Here is a 17,482-nt window from a genome sequence, read left to right on the forward strand (position 1 = left end):
ACATTAAAACCTAAACTTAGAATACCTGCTTGTCATATATATCAACAGTAGGTTTCATATGCTATTTCGTAACAGCTTAGAAGATGATGGTATGATTCATTTGAAAATCAAAAAATAATTATCCTTTTAAATGTGCAATTAACTATGGATGGCATAATACTTTTATTTGTTTGAACCAGCACTGGAATCTACTTTAAATGTACTTTAAAAAAAAAAATTCTTTTTGTCAGACTAGATATTTCAGAGCTCCTGTATTTGATTTAGCCTTTTCTATTTGCTGAGCCCTGGAGAAAGTTGCGTAGGAATTATTTGGGGCATCATTAAATAGGATGGATGCATATAGGTCTAGGAAGACTCAGGCATAGCCCTGCTGAGGATTGGACAGGGTCCAGGAGGTTCCTTTTACATCCGTGTGGTTCTGTGGTATAAGATAACCACATTCTCAGAGTATGCTGGTTTAGGCTGTGTTGTAATCTGTAAATCATAGTGTCTTGTTTTGTTTGTCTCTTTAGTCCCATATTTTTATAATGTAATCCCTACCCCAATTTTTTAGCTAATAATTTTACGCAGTTGAGTGTTTGAAGTTGAAGAAGTTTTCCAAATTTCCTGTTGATCTCACCAATATCTACACATTCTTGGTTGAGTCACTACCTTGTCTGATTTTCTAGAACAGTATTTCTGTGAAAGGAAAATGTGTTCCCTCTAGTCCTCTTTTGTCAAAAACCCTTTGCACTTGCTTTCTTTTGCCAATTGAACCTTTTTTGAAATGCATCAGTAGGGAGAGCTTGCCTAGCCTTTGCTAGACAGGAGTAGCTGTAGGTGCATTTAAACAATCCAACTTGAAAAGGGGATTTCTCTCTTTCTATTTGAAAACAATTGAAAATGAAAAGTGTATGTCTCAGGACAGAGTGCTTAACCGACCTCATTCTACTGAACTTCAGCATGGTATATGAAACTACCTCCCCTGTGTCTTCCCCAGTGTTTTAAAAAGATGCTTAACTTGTTTGAGGCAACTGGTTCTGAGTCAGAGCTCTCTATCCAGCATCACCAGAATCCATTATGTTGTTAGGTCTTGTTATACCGTTCTTTGCATCTCTTTTTTCTTCACTCAAATAGTCAATACAGCTTTGTTCTAAGGGCTATCTGATCATGTTTTGAGGGGAAATCGAGATTGAGCTATAGAGATGAACTATGGTTACATTAACCTTTAAATGTAACCACATTCCTTCCCCCACAGTACATTCACATGCAGCCTGTACTTTTAAGTAATCCTGTAAGCTCCTGTGGCTAAAGCATGTTGAAAGTATCTATTTTCAACTGAGTAACCCTGACAGTAGATGAAACCTCCAAAAGATACCTCCCTCCTCAAGGGTGGAAGTGGGGGTAGGGGCAATGGTTGGCAGTGCAGTTTTCAGCCTATTCTCCCTCATCCTCTCTCTTTTTTTAAGACCCTAGAGGAGCAAGGTAAACATCTTTATAAGGAAATGTATGAGTTAGCTCTTTTAAAACCACAGATAAGTATAATCTTAGGAAAAGAGATCATGTGCCCTAGACTTTAGTAGTTAACATTTCTTCTGAAGGATGTGATTTTTTTTTTTTTTTTTTGTGATGGAGTCTTGCTCTGTCTCCCAGGCTGGAGTGCAATGGTGCGACCTCAGCTCACTGCAACCTCCGCCTCCCGGGTTCAAGCAATTCCAATTCTCTGCCTCAGCCTCCTGAGTAGCTGGGATTACAGGCACCCACCACCACGCCTGGCTAATTTTTGTATTTTTAGTAGAGACGGGGTTTCACCATCTTGGCCAGGCTGGTCTTGAACTGCTGACCACATGATCCACCTGCCTCGGCCTCCCAAAGTCTGGTATTATAGGCGTGAGCCATTGCACCCGGCCGGATGTGATTTTTTTTAAAGACAAAGTAACTAAAGACTAATTGATGCTGACATACCAAAGTAAAACCAGAAGTCTGTATTGAGGAGCCATCTCAAAAATTTACTTTAAGACAGTATGTCTTAAAGAAAAAAATGTATTATTTAAATGGAAAGTAGGACCATATGCCAGGTTTTGTTTGTTTTGTTTGTTGTCATATTTTTGTTGTTGTTTGAGATGGGACATAAGAGACTAGTTGCTTGTCTCACAGATATGGTAGGGAAAGGAAACCTTTTGGTGGAAGTTAGCCATCTCTTCAATCTCTGATATTCAAGGAGTACCCAGTTTTGGTTCACCAAATGTAAGTCCTTTGTTATAAGCATCCTCTTTTATGTTGGTTTGTTTGGCCTGTAGACAGTTTCTGAAACTAATTTCTTATTTGCATGTAATGCTTTCATATAATATTCATCTGTAAAACCATTTGGATTTTTCGAGTTGATACATTTTTATCATTCTGCTGCACCTCTCTCCCCTCCTTCTTTGGGCTTGTTGCACTGTCATGCTCCTCCTGATGCATTGCTTCCTGGTGGGTGACATCATGATTTGTGAGCAACCCGATATATAAATAAGGTGGTGAGAACTGCCTCAGCAATTCAGTTTCTATTTGAAAGGCATTAAGCAGCCTCTTTCTGTTTTCTTACATTTTTCTCTACTTTGTGTTTTCACAGTTTTATTAGGCACTGTAGAAGGACCTGTTTTTCTCTTTCATTACATTTCTGAAAATCATTAGGTTGATTCAAAATCTTTTGGAAATGTAATGCCCCCTTATGCTATAATATACCTCTCATACTGTATACATTTTGGTCACACCCAGATGTGGAGTTTAGCAATAACTAACAACTACTAATTTTTAGGAGCATCCTAGGAATACAGATGCTTTCAGCAGTATGTTTTTATTTTCACTGATATTAAAGGAGTATTTATCTTAGAAGAGTGGTAGGAAAGCACACATGAATTTGGACCTTAATCCTTGACTATGTAGACATTGAATATTCATAGGTGTTTTGTGTGCTATGGTAGGTGTGGAAATATATGTGAGATCAATATCACTTCACCTCAATATCTTCAAAAGTGAATATGGATATGGTTTTGTTAGCTGAACTCATTAGCAAAGATGCCTTTTAAAAATAGCAAAGGTTACAGTATATATAATGTATGTGTGAATATCCACATATTATTAGATAGATTCCAACATGAGTATTTGTATGTGTTTCTGTTAACAATATAATTTACTATCACAGCTTATTTTTCAAAATTCCATTGAAGTATAAAGCTGGTTAGAAAGATATACGGCATCTTTTTCTTTTTTTCAGCTCTCCTAAGGTATAATTGACAAATAAATTGTACATATTGACAGTGTACTATGTGATGTTTTGACATATGTATACATTGTGAAATGATTAAATCAATCTAATTAACATATTCATCACCTCATATACTTTTTTGGTGGTGAGAACATTTTAGATCTACTCTCTGAGCAATTTTTTAGGGTACAATACAGTATTATTAACTATAACCACCATGCTGTACAATCAGTCTCCAGAACTTATTCATCCTGTCTAACTGGAACTTTGTACTCTTTAACCAACATCTGCCCATCTCTTCCCCCAGCTGTTGGCAACCACCACTCTTTCTGCTTTTATGAGATTGACTTTTTTAGATTGCACATCTAAGTGAGATCATGCAGTATTTGTTTTTGTGTAAACAAGCATACAGTATTGATGTCAAGGTCTTGTATTACCCACCTTAGAACAAGACAGTAGGATCATTATTTTTATTCAGTTAATGTTCATTTATACTTACCCACATATTATTCATTTTTTTTTTTTTTTTTAGACAAGGGAGTCTCACTGTGTTGCTCAGGCTGGCCACGAACTCCTGGGCTCAAGTGATCCTCCTGCGTCAGCCTCCCCACTAGCTAGGATTACAGGAGTATACCATGGCCCTAGCTCCACATTTTACTCTTCATTCTTTTTTAGCATTTCAGAGCATCCATCTGGAATTAACTCTTTTTGCCTGAAATACTCTTTCCTTTGGGCAATGATAGCAAAGTATTTGGGCAGAGCTTCTTCAGGAACTTTCTGAGTCAAGTCAGACCCAAGCCTTGTCCCACCCCTCCCCCAAGGCATGGGACCTTTGCCCTTCTTGTTAACCTCCTATGATCTTTCATTCCTATTGTCCCATCTCACTAACAGTGTTCCTCGTGTGTTCTGACTCATCACTTTAGCTGATTCTCTCTCATCCCTTAGTTTACCTGGTTTCATTTTCTGATTTAGGGCCTTGCATAGTCTGATTGATTAGTCTCAGTTTCAAGTCATAACCTCCTTGCTTTCTCGAGGTTCATCCAGCCCCACTCCCCTCACCCCACCCCTTGTTAATTAGCAGGCCAATGTACTACCATCTTTCAGCCTGAGTTTCTTCTGAAAGAACACTGCTGTTCTCTGTTGATACTGTAGCATCTTGGCAGGTGCCTCAGGAACCCTGCTACTGTGGGTTTAGTACTTCAGATTCTTGCCATGCTGCAGCTTCAGCATAACCTGGGAACTGGTTAGAAATGCAAAGTTTCTGGCTTCACTCTAAACCCACTGAATAAGAAACTGGGTGGGGGTAAGGGGACAGCAATCCATTTTCTAACAACCTCCCTAGGTGATTCTGATGTACACTAAAGTTTAAGAACCCTAGAGCCCAATGACTCATCTTATTTCACAAGTGTGGCAACTGAGTTACTCCAGGTCCATAAAGCCAGTTTAGTGCTAAACAGTAGAGCCAGGAGTAGCCTACTTCAGCCCACCACCTTGTCTACTAGGCTTCTCTATGTTACTTGTGCTGAACATTGTTTTTAGTTAAATATTAGAACTGAGTCATGACATTGCTGTACATTTGCAAATGAGAGGCTTGTCCTCTAAGCTTTGCATTCCTTCTGCCAGTGACAGTATCAGTCAGAATCAAGTAGTTCTCAGTGACAAAGTGGGAGGATACCCTTGGCATTGGACTCTTTACAGGGAACTCAGTAGAGTCTTTGTGTTGTTCATTATGGCTTTGGTTGATGTATAATATATTGCCATGTTCTTAAAACTAAAACATGCTAGAATAAACTCAACAAGTGATAAGGAATGATCATTTGCATCGTGTGTGTGTGTGTGTGTGTGTGTGTGTGTAGATGTATTAATATTTAGTTTGTAAAATGAATTACCAGAGAATTTCTTAAGTAGCAATGTCCCTGTATATTAAAATGTAACTCTTTGAAAGTGGGAAGGAGGTAGATAATGAGTTGGATAACTGTTCAGGAACACATCTACTGAAGAGCACATTTACATTCTCTTAGTTCCTAATATAGTATTAGTATACTTATTCAATAATTGTCCTTGTTTGTATGTACTTTAGAACATTTTGTTCACCCTTGCTGGATGTTCTCATATCTTCTTTAGATAACAAGTAAACATGTCTGAGAGTTTCCATTTGTTTTAGTTTGACATCTTTGCCCTATAAACCCTCATGTATCTGAACTTTAGAGGAAAGGAAATCTGAAGCTACTATTTCAATCTTTTCTGCTTTCAATTTTATTTTTAACAACCAAACAGTTCTTTCTGATGATAAGGAATCAGAGCATTGAGACCATTTTCTTACTAAATCATGCTTATGTGGATGGAAAAAGTTAGTGCAGCCTCTAACGGAAGTGACTTAACCAGTGGGAAATTCTTCCTTTATATGATTTTATAAATACAAAAGTAAAATCGCATTAAGAAATTATCAGGAATAGTAACTACTGCATAATTTTGAAGACCCTGTAATCTTTCAGATGTTATAAGAAACTTGTGAAAAATGGACAACCAAGATAGTTTATGATGTTACAGATGAGTTTTGTTTTACCATAACTGGCTACATAATTTGTGGAGCTCCTTGCAAAATGAAAATGTGGGACCTCTTGTTCAAAGATTATTCAGAATTTCAAGATGGCAGCAGCAGAGCAGTAAACCAAGTGTGAGGCCCTTCTGAGAGCAGGGCCCTATGTGACTGCTCAAGTTGCACACCCATGAAACCTCTGTGGTTTACCTAATTGAGACAGTTAATGAGAGAAGCAAAATGTGCACCACTTTGTTCCTGGAATAAAATGAATGTTTTGACTTGAATAAAAGTGAGAATCTTTTAACAAAAAGCCACTTCTACAAAAGGCTCTTCCTGTAAGTGACCTCTTTTATTCATTTCAAAATGTCTTTTTCTATCAATTCCAGCATGATCTTTGTCACAAATAAAAAAGGGAGCTTTCCCCATGAGAATTTCTGTCAAGAAACAATCTTCTTCAACTCTCTTCTGATATGTGAAGAAATAGTTCTTATCTCTCTTAAAGTAGGTTTGAACCTTATTCTCTGATGAATACTTTACATACTCTAAGCAAACAGCTTCAAATTTCTCACAGATTTTGCCGATGAGATTCCCATTTCTCTTTTTTAGTCCCTAATGACTGAAGGTATCGTATCTAGGGATAGTTTACACCACATTCTCTATAAGTAATGTAATAGGACTTATAGCATTTCATTTTGCAGCATATCTTTGGGTCTGTTTGCACTTAATGTGGAGTTCGCTTTGAGTAATATCAGTCCTTTGAATTTGTTTTATGTGATTTGGTTTTTATAAAACATTAGGATGCTCTCTAGATTATCCAGCCCAGTTCCCTGCCTCTAGGTGTACCTGAATGTAACTCTGTAAGACAAATGGTTATACAGTAAGTTTCTAAATGTCCCAGGAAAACAAAAATGTAATGGTACAGATAATCCTTTTTTTTTTTTTTTGAGACAGACTTTTGCTCTTATTGCCCAGGCTGGAGTGCAATGGCTCAATCTTGGCTCACCACAACCTCTGCCTCCCTGGGTTCAAGCGATTCTCCTGTCTTAGCCTCCCGTGTAGCTGGGATTACAGGCATGCACCACCACGCCTAGCTAATTTTGTATTTTTAGTAGAGACAGGGTTTCTCCATGTTGGTCAGGCTGGTCTCGAACTCCCGACCTCAGGTGATCTGCCAGTCTCAGCCTCACAAAGTGCTGGGATTACAGGCATGAGCCACCACGCCTGGCCTCAGATAATCCCTATATAGTGAGGGATGTTCAGGGAAATACCAGCTGTACTTGTATTCCTGGCAAGTTCCATTATTCTTGAATGTAATCATTATTCTTTTTTTAATTGCAGTTATTTGATGTGTCTTATTCCTTTACTTCAGTGAAAGTTTTATTTGTAAACCTAACCTTATTTATATTCTTGGCCGAGAAAATAGAAAGCAGACTTTTCTACCCAGTATAGTCCACTGTGTAAAACTCTTGAAAACTTTCTCATCACATTTGTCAGCTGTCTCTGATACATAGACAGACCTGAGTTAATGATTGTTATTGTTTACATTTCTTTTTTCTTTAATGAAAAACTATTGAATTATTCAGTTTTTATTAAAAGTTCAATGATTTTTATATTTCAGATGCTCTTTAGTATTCAATATATTCACAGCATACTCCAAGTCTCCCTCACTGGTCCACTGGTTCTAATATTTACTAGAATAATTTTATTTACCATATGCTTGTGTCATATTGGAAATGTTAGGGGAAAAATTGAATTTTGAATGTGAAAGGTCCTTTCTTCTTTTATCAAAAGGAAAAAAATGCATTCTCTGACATTAATAAAAGTCATGCTGACGTTCTCTTACAAGAAACTCACTAAAATGACAAAGAGCATGAAAAAATGTAATTAGGTGTTTGAGCTGAGTTGGTTGGTTTGTTCTCCTACCTGATAAATTCTAATACACAGAAATAAAATTCCAGTTAATGAGAAAGTGCAAACATGGCAGATATATCGATATTCTAGATAATATTGTCATTATTTCATGTGCTTACGATAGAAAAAAATAAATTTGACTTTTTTGCAAATATTGCTGGGTTTTCCTCTGAAAAGCACTATAATGAGTGGATTTATTTATTCAATTCTCAGTGAGTTACTGGCTGAATCAAGGTTTTGGAAAAATAAACATGTATTCTCTATCTCTAAGTATATTAACTAATCTATAAAGGCTTGACATTCATTAATGCTTGCTGAGGGAAAAAATGAGTTCTAGAGATTGTGTTTTGCTCAGTACTGCATAACTTACTTTCACAAGCTCTGCTTAAGCTTTGATTTCTAAATCTCTCCCCAGTGAAATCATACCTCAAAGATGTTTCATTAAAATGACAAGATAAGCTCCCTCGCATCCCTATGCTGGAGTGGGGGCAAGGGACAGAGTTTTGGGAGATCTTGCAAAACGGTTCCTAAGCTTTAGGGAAAGAAGTGCAAATTATTGACTTCAGTGAAAAATTGACAACATCTCCATGGTGAAGACAGTAGCCAAAAGGGTGGGCCAACTGTGTGCCAAGCCTCCGCTTGTCTTGATCTTGTTCTCATGGTTGTGCTGATGACTCATGGGGGTTGGATTTGTGTAATGTAGGAACCATTAGAAAATCCATGCTTTTCAAGTAATGCATTTTAGAAAAATATTTTTAAATGCATATTTTCATTGTCATAACCTGCATTGTACAATCTTCCACTTTTCGTTCCCTACCTCTTTTCTATTTGGAAATATTTTCTCAGAGTGTTGGTAGTAGTTCACATGGCTTAATTATGTCTCTAAATATTAGTTCAAACCATATGAAATTGTTGCCATTTGACTGTTTTTTGCCTACAAAATGACAATGTAATATGGTTCAATCTAATAAGAAATATATAATTCCCAAACAGAAAGGTAATATCCTAGTATTACTTAATCACTTTTTGTTGTGGATGAAACTCAGATTCTACCTTAGTTGATCATTTTCTGGCTGTGAGATAATTTTCTCACAGATTGTTGGCATTGAAAGAGAACTCTTAAATAGGAAAACCCTCTCCCTGGGCATCCAGGGCCACCCTGGAAAACAAGCCTTAATGAAGTCACCTGATCAGTAACCTGGTCTCCTGTGGATATAGTTCTCCTGTTTGCATTGTACATCTTTAGGGAAAAAATGCAGTATAGTTGGTTAATTTATCAGTCTTTATTTTTGTTCCAGTGAAACAAAATGCCCTGGCCATTCTAATTAGATCAAGAGTCACTGTGATGTCTTTGATAGAGCTGGGTGTTAACAAGGTTTTTCTCAGCTACCAGTTTTCAAATTGTTTTTTAAAAATGGATGATTAATCCATCCAGCACTTGTTGATTTCTCCCGGTTTGACTCTGAGGTGGAAGTGACATCTTCCTCACTTTACTACCCAATTCAGAGTGTACCTTAAAATAGCTTCCTCTAAACTGGATATAAAGATGTCAGCAATGTGTAGATTCTCTAAATATGCTTTTCCTTCTTTGTTCAAGACAGTGCTAATGTGAGTGCTTAGTTACTAAAACAAATATAATGACATTTTTAAAGCCTCACACAGTTGGATAATTGCTTTAAAGAAATCATGGTACATTTTTTTACTTCCTCTTCCTGAAATAGAAATCATAGTCCTATTGAAGACCCAGGATTCCATACGTCGTAAGAGTATAAGTAGTGTATTCCTTTTAAAGGATGGGGATAAATTTCCCCTATACTAAAAATCACCAGCTGCCGTAGAAGTGCTGAGTGAAAAATGGTTCTTATCATTTCTTTGTGGACTGCAATTTCCCCCTGTTGATATAGGCTATAAATAGGAAATAAACAGCCTTGAATGAAATCAGATATAGTATGCAAAGATTTCACTGATGAGTTTAGGTGAGCAACTCATAAAAAGAACAAAATATTGCCTGGTCCTAAATCTTTGCCAAGGAACCTTTAGTAACCTCCTTGCTCTCAACCATTTTGGCAAATACCACTTTTTAACTCCATTTTTTGGAGAGTAACAGATATTTGTTTTTGAATTTTTTTTTACATAAAAAAGAGTAAAAATAATTAAGAATATTAAAAATTATGACTGTTACACGAACAAGCAAAATAAACATAGTCTTGAATATCTTTTAATATAATTAGCAGTTTCTCCCTTTATGACATTTATCTGAGATAATTTATCAGCATTTGGACTATACTAAAATGAATTGCTTTTCTAAACAGTAGAAACTTGGCTTCTGTAAATACCTGATCCATGCCGAAAGTATAATGTAGAAGTAGGCTTTTCTATTAACTATTGTTTGAAGAACCAAAAGTCTATAGTATTTTTCTGTGTTCTTCAGATATATTACATATCAAACAAGTAAAGATTTTTAAAGAATATTTCATTTTACTTTATTAGCAAATAATTCTCTTTATGATTATTATTACTGGCCATGAATTCTTTTAATCTCCAAATTAGCCCACATAGAGGAAAAAAAAAACTACACAATTTGCCTATTTGGAAGATACCTTACAATTCTCTCTTTTACATAGTGCTATCTATTGAGTAAGTGCCCAGTGGTTATGCATTGATAGTTTGAAAGAGTTAATTGGAAACTACGTAGGAGTTTGCTGAAAGCATGATTGAAGCAGTGATGATGAACTGTATCTAAGTTTGCCCTGCTTTCCTCTCTGGAGCCCACTGTTCCAAGAAGAGACATAGTTAAAAACAAATTTGAAATTGTAAATCTTTTCTAGTTAATCCCAAGCAAGAAATTAAGTGCCTATTTGCAAGTCTGGCTCTGACCATACCTCTATTCATTTTACTAAAATATAATGATATTTGCAGACAGTAGTGACACAACAGTAACTAGATGGCAACATAGTAACTTCATAAAATAGCATATGATATAAATCATGGAAGTTTTTGAATTAAAAATATCAAAGAACTGCAAAGGTCAAGTAGACACATCAACTTAAAGCACTTATGAAGTTAAGCTCTAAGGAATGACAGTCTTTTAATGCCACTATTTTCTCTGGTTTTACCAGCTTTGGGGAGGTTATTTAAGCATAATTTTTATTCATGACTTTATTTTAAAAGAACCACATGATGTTCAGAAATTGATATAATTATATCTCTGAGGTATTGGTGCAGAATTTTGTAATTCTATACCATTTTCTTACAAGTGATCAACTCTCATGTAATTCAATGGCATCCATATTATTTATTCAGTAATCTGTAATTATAGATTTCCTCTAATGAAGCACCCTATGCTTTATTGCCCTGGGTTCTCAGGAGCTCTGTGGGTGTCAATTTTAGAAAATTTGAAATTGGGAAAGCTATATTTTCCCAGATGAACATTATAAAGTAATGAAGAGGTTAGTAAGTGTTGCCTTGATTGTTTGAAACACCAAAAGGCAATACCACCCAATATACAATTATCATATTACTTTTAGTATACCATCTTCTTTTTTTAATTTAAAGGTTAGATTCAATTAAATGGTAGTAGCAGTATGTTAAATTTACTGTGAGTATATGCCTTAGGAAGTTATTTATCTATTTATTTTGAAGTTAATTTTTTTCTATTGGAGAACAACTTCTCTTTTACGAAGTAAAGTATGTAATTAAGGTCTACCTGAATTTTAATTATTAGAACAGAATATTATTAATATGTATTTATAAAAATTGTCTAAATTACCTGAATTTAGAACATTTAAGTTTCTAAAGCACTCATTCCCTCATTTGATTCCTTGAATAGATCTGGTGAGCTAAAGTATATTTATGTGGTAGTCTTTCTAAAAGCAATATTCATTTAAACTTGGCAAGTGTAAAGTATCTAGGCTTGGTATTTTTTCTTTTGCTATTTTTTAGAATTTATGTGTATCTTTTCTTTCCAAAATTAAGCACATGAGGGAAGATGTATAGGTGTGAACACTCAAGGTATGTACAAAATGATAAAGACAAGTAGCCTAACGGGGAGTTGAAGAAGCCAAAGAAAAATTTTTGGAAGCAACTTATAAAACCATTGTAGATTGGATTGGATCTGATACACATTGAATCTTAGAAAAGAGGATGATGTTATTAAACTTATAGTTTAGTAATGGGAGAGACTAGAAACAGGGAATTCAACAAGTTAATCCATGTAGTAGTAATCCAGGTTAAGGGTTGAGTGATAATGTTGGAGAGGAAACTCTGATTATGAAATATTTTGCCTGTGAAGAAGTGGTATAGCTGAGTCATGTTTTAAATTTGGAGATGAAAGAATGTCAAAGACCATGCATAGATTCCAAGCCTGGGGAATAATCAGAAATGAAAAAATTGGGATAAGAAGTCATTAGGGGTATGGTTGGGTGGGGAATTTGTCCACGATTAAATAAGTCTTAGACATGCTAAATCTCAGATGATGGGAAATCTTGTAAATAACATTGTTTGAGGGTAGCTGATAATTTAGACCTGAAATGGGACTGAGCATGAATAGTGAGGATGTGGATTCCATTCCAAGATGGCCAAATAGGAACAGCTGCAGTCTGCAGCTCCTAGAGTGATCGACACAGAAGATGGTGATTTCTGTGTTTCCAACTGAGGTACCTGGTTCATCTCACTGGGACTGGTTAGACAGTGGGTGCAGCCCACAGAGTGCGAGCCGAAGCAGGGCAGGGCATCACCTCACCCGGGAAGCACAAGGGGTCAGAGGATTTCCCTTTCCTAGCCAAAGGAAGCCATGACAGACTGTACCTGGAAAATCGGGACACTCCCACCGAAATACTGAGCTTTTCCAATAGTCTTAGCAAATGGCACACCAGGAGATTATATCCCGTGCCTGGCTCAGCGGGCCCCACGCTCACGGAGCCTTGCTTACTGCTAGCACAGCAGTCTGAGATTGACCTGCAAGGCAGCAGCCTGGCAGGGGGTGAGGTGTCCACCATTGCTGAGGCTTGAGTAGATAAACAAAGTGGCTGGGGAAGCTCGAACTGGGCGGAGCCCACCTCAGCTCTGCAAGGCATGCTGCCTCTGTAGACCCCAACTCTGGGGGCAGGGCATAGCTGAACAAAAGGCATCAGAAACTTCTGCAGACTTAAACATCCCTGTCTGACAGCTCTGGAGAGAGCAGTGGTTCTCCCAGCACAGTGTTTGAGCTCTGAGAACAGACTGCCTCCTCAAGTGGGTCCCTGACCCCCGTGTAGCCTAACTGGGAGACACCTCCCAGTTTGGGCCTACTGACACCTCATACAGGCGAGTGACCCTCTGGGATGAAGCTTCCAGAGGAAGGATCAGGCAGCAATATTTGCTGTTCTGCAGTGTTTGCTGTTCTGCAATATTTGCTGTTCTGCAGCCTCTGCTGGTGATACCCAGGCAAACAGGGTCTGGAGTGGACTTCCAGCAGACTCCACCAGAGCTGCAGCTGAGGGACCTGACTCGTAGAAGGAAAACTAACAAACAGAAAGGAATAGCATCAACATCAATAAAAAGGACATCCACACCAAAACCGAATCTGTAGGTCACCAGCGTCAATGACCAAATGTAGAGAAAACCACAAAGATGGGGAGAAACCAGAGCAGAAAAGGTGAAAATTCTAAAAATCAGAGCACCTCTTCTCCTCCAAAGGATTACAGGTCCTCTCCAGCAACGAAACAAAGCTGGACAGAGAATGACTTTGACGAGCTGACAGAAGTAGGGTTCAGAAGGTCAGTAATAACAAACTTCTCCGAGCTAAAGGAGGATGTTCAAACCCATTGCAAGGAAGCTAAAAATGTTGGAAGAAGATTAGACGAATGGCTAACTAGAATAAACAGTGTAGAGAAGACACCTGATGGAGCTGAAAACCATGGCATGAGAACTACGTGATGCATGCACAAGCTTCAATAGATGATTCAATGAAGTGGAAGAAAGGCTATCAGTGATTGAAGATCAAATTAATGAAATAAAGCGAGAGGAGAAGTTCAAAGAAAAAAGAGTAAAAAGAAATGAACAAAGCCTCCAAAAAATATGGGACTATGTGAAAAGGCGAAATCTACATTTGATTGGTGTACCTGAAAGTGACGGGGAGAATGGAACCAAGTTGGAAAACACTCTGCAGGATATTATCCAGGAGAACCTCCCCAACCTAGCAAGGCAGGCCAACATCCAAATTCAGGAAAAACAGAGACCGCCACAAAGATACTCCTCAAGAAGAGCAACCCCAGGACACATAATTGTCAGATTCACCAAGGTTGAAATGAAGGAAAAAATGCTAAGGGCAGCCAGAGAGAAAGGTCGGGTTACCCACAAAGGGAAGCCCATCAGACTAACAGCAGATCTCTCAGCAGAAACTACAAGCCAGAAGAGAGTGGGGGCCAATATTCAACATTCTTAAAGAAAAGAATTTTCAACTTAGAATTTCATATCCAGCCAAACTAAGCTTCATAAGTGAAGGACAAATAAAATCCTTTACAGACAAACAAATGCTGAGAGATTGTGTCACCACCAGCCTGCCTTACAAGAGCTCTTGAAGGAAGCACTAAGCATGGAAAGGAACAACTGGTACCAGCCACTGCAAAAACATGCCAAATTGTAAAGACCATCGAGGCTAGGAAGAAACTGCATCAACTAACAGGCAAAATAACCAGCTAACATCATAATGACAGGATCAAATTCACAAATAACAATATTAAGCTTAAATGCAAATAGGCTAAATGCCCCAATTAAAAGACACAGACTGGCAAGTTGAATAAAGAGTCAAGACCCATCAGTGTGCTATATTCAGGAGACACATCTGATGTGCAGAGACACACATAGGCTCAAAATAAAGGGACAGAGGAAGATCTACCAAACAAATGGAAAGCAACGAAAAGCAGGGGTTGCAATCCTAGTCTCTGATAAAACAGACTTTAAACCAACAAAGATCAAAAGAGACAAAGAAGGCTGTGACATACTGGTAAAGGGATCAATTCAACAAGAAGAGCTGACTATCCTAAATATATATGCACCCAATACAGGAGCACCCAGATTCATAAAGCAAGTCCTTAGAGACCTAAGAAGAGACTTAGACTCCCACACAATAATAATGGGAGACTTTAACACCCCACTGTCAATATTAGACAGATCAATGAGACAGAAGGTTAACAAAGATATCCAGGACTTGAACTCAGCTCTGCACCAAGCAGACCTAATAGACATCTACAGTACTCTCCACCCGAAATCAACAGAATATGCATTCTTCTCAGCACCACATCACACTTATTCCAAAATTGACCACATAGTTGGAAGTAAAGCACTCCTCAGCAAATGTAAAAGAACAGAAATCACAACAAACTGTCTCTCAGACCACAGTGCAATCAAATTAGTACTCAGGATTAAGAAACTCACTCAAAACCACACAACTACATGGAAACTGAACAACCTGCTCCTGAATGACTACTGGGTACATAACGAAATGAAGGCAGAGATAAAGATGTTCTTTGAAACCAGTGAGAACAAAGGCACAACATACAAGAATCTCTGGGACACATTTAAAGCAGCATGTAGAGGAAAATTTATAGCACTAAATGCCCACAAGAGAAAGCAGGAAACATCTAAAATCAACACCCTAACATCACAATTAAAAGAACTAGAGAAGCAAGAGGAAACAAATTCAAAAGCCAGCACAAGACAAGAAATAACTAAGATCAGAGCAGAACTGAAGGAGATAGAGACACAAAAAACCCTTCAAAAAATCAATGAATCCAGGAGCTGGTTTTTTGAAATTATCAACAAAATTGATAGACCACTAGCAAGACTAATAAAGAAGAAAAGAGAGAAGAATCAAATGGACACAATAAAAAATGATAAAGGGGGTATTACCACTGATCCCACAGAAATACAAACTACCATCAGAGAATACTATAAACACCTCTATGCAAATAAACTAGAAAATCTAGAAGAAATGGATAAATTCCTGGACACATACACCATCCCAAGACTAAACCAGGAAGAAGTTGAATCTCTGAATAGACCAATAACAGGCTCTGAAATTGAGGCAATAATTAATAGCCTACCAACAAAGAAAAAGTCCAGGACCAGACGGATTTGCAGCTGAATTCTACCAGAAGTACAAAGAGGAGCTGGTACCATTCCTTCTGAAACTATTCCAATCAATAGAAAAAGAGGGAATCCTCCCTAACTCATTTTATGAGGCCAGCATCATCCTGATACCAAAGCCTGGCAGAGACACAACCAAAAAAGAGAATTTTAGACCAATATCCCTGATGAACATCGATGTGAAAATCCTCAATAAAATAGTGGTAAACCGAATCCAGCAGCACACCAAAAAGCTTATCCATCATGATCAAGTTGGCTTCATCCCTGGGATGCAAGGCTGGTTCAATATATGCAAATCAATGAACATAATCCATCACATAAACAGAACCAAAAACAAAAACCACATGATTATCTCAGTGGTTGCAGAAAAGGCCTTCGACAGAATTCTACAACCCTTCATGCTAAAAACTCTCAATAAACTAGGTATTGATGGAACATATCTCAAAATAATAAGAGCTATTTATGACAAACCCACAGCCAACATCATACTGAATGGGCAAACTGGAAGCATTCCCTTTGAAAACTGGCACAAGACAGGGATGCCCTCTCTCACCACTCCTATTCAACATAGTGTTGGAAGTTCTGGCCAGGGCAATCAGACGAGAAAGAAAAAAGGGGTATTCAATTAGGAAAAGAGGAAGTCAAATTGTCCCTGTTTGCAGATGACATGATTGTATATTTAGAAAATCCCATCATCTCACTCAAATCTCCATAAGCTGATAATCAACTTCAGCAAAGTTTCAGGATAGAAAATCAATGTGCAAAAATCACAAGCATTCCTATACACAAATAACAGACAAACAGAGAGCCAAATCATGAGTGAACTCCCATTCACAATTGCTACAAAGACAATAAAATACCTAGGGATCCAACTTACAAGGGATGTGAAGGACATCTTCAAGGAGGACTACAAACCACCACTCAACGAAATAGAAGAGGACACAAACAAATAGAAGAAGAATATTCCATGCTCATGGATAGGAAGATTAATATTGTGAAAATGGCCATACTGCCCAAGGTAATTTATAGATTCAGTGCCATCCCCATCAAACTACCAATGACTTCCTTCACAGAATTGGAAAAAACTATTTTACAGTTCACATGGAACCAAAAAAAGAGCCCGCATTGTCAAGACAATCCTAAGCCAAAAGAACAAAGCTGGAGGCATCACACTACCTGACTTCAACCTATACTACAAGGCTACAGTAACCAAAACAGCATGGTACTGGTACCAAAACAGAGAGATAGCCCAATAGAACATAACAGAGGCATCAGAAATAATACTACACATCTACAACCATCTGATCTTTGACAAACCTGACAGTAACAAGAAATGGGGAAAGGATTCCCTATTTAATAAATGGTGCTGGGAAAACTGGCTAGCCATATGTAGAAAGCTGAAACTGTCCAGGCATGGTGGCTGACGCCTATAATCCCAGCACTTTTGGAGGCCAAGGCAGGTGGATCACGAGTTCAGGAGATCAAGACCATCCTGGCTAACATGGTGAAACCCTGTCTCTACTAAAAATATAAAAAATTAGCCGGGCATGGTGGTGGGCGCCTGTAGTCCCAGCTACTTGGGAGGCTGAGGCAGGAGAATGGTGTGAACCCAGGAGGCAGAGCTTCTTGCAGTGAGTGGGAGATCACGCCACTGTACTCCAGCCTGGGCGACA

The 17,482-nt window shown here is 37.9% G+C and overlaps 1 protein-coding gene across 2 annotated transcripts in view, besides 1 other annotated feature; it reads left to right on the top strand.

Annotated features, from left to right (window-relative positions):
* The window catches only part of DIAPH2 (diaphanous related formin 2), a 920,156-nt gene that overhangs the window by 712,313 nt on the left and 190,361 nt on the right, over positions 1 to 17,482 (top strand). The window lies entirely within an intron of this gene.
* Positions 1,287 to 1,376: an enhancer, noted in NCBI's record as "active region_29799". NCBI's record gives its function as "activates an Ori minimal core promoter by ATAC-STARR-seq in GM12878 lymphoblastoid cells {active_cell/tissue: GM12878}" and the evidence as "EXISTENCE:reporter gene assay evidence [ECO:0000049][PMID:35858748]".

This window comes from Homo sapiens, chromosome X (genome assembly GCF_000001405.40).
Source record: "Homo sapiens chromosome X, GRCh38.p14 Primary Assembly".
Taxonomy (NCBI): domain Eukaryota; kingdom Metazoa; phylum Chordata; class Mammalia; order Primates; family Hominidae; genus Homo; species Homo sapiens.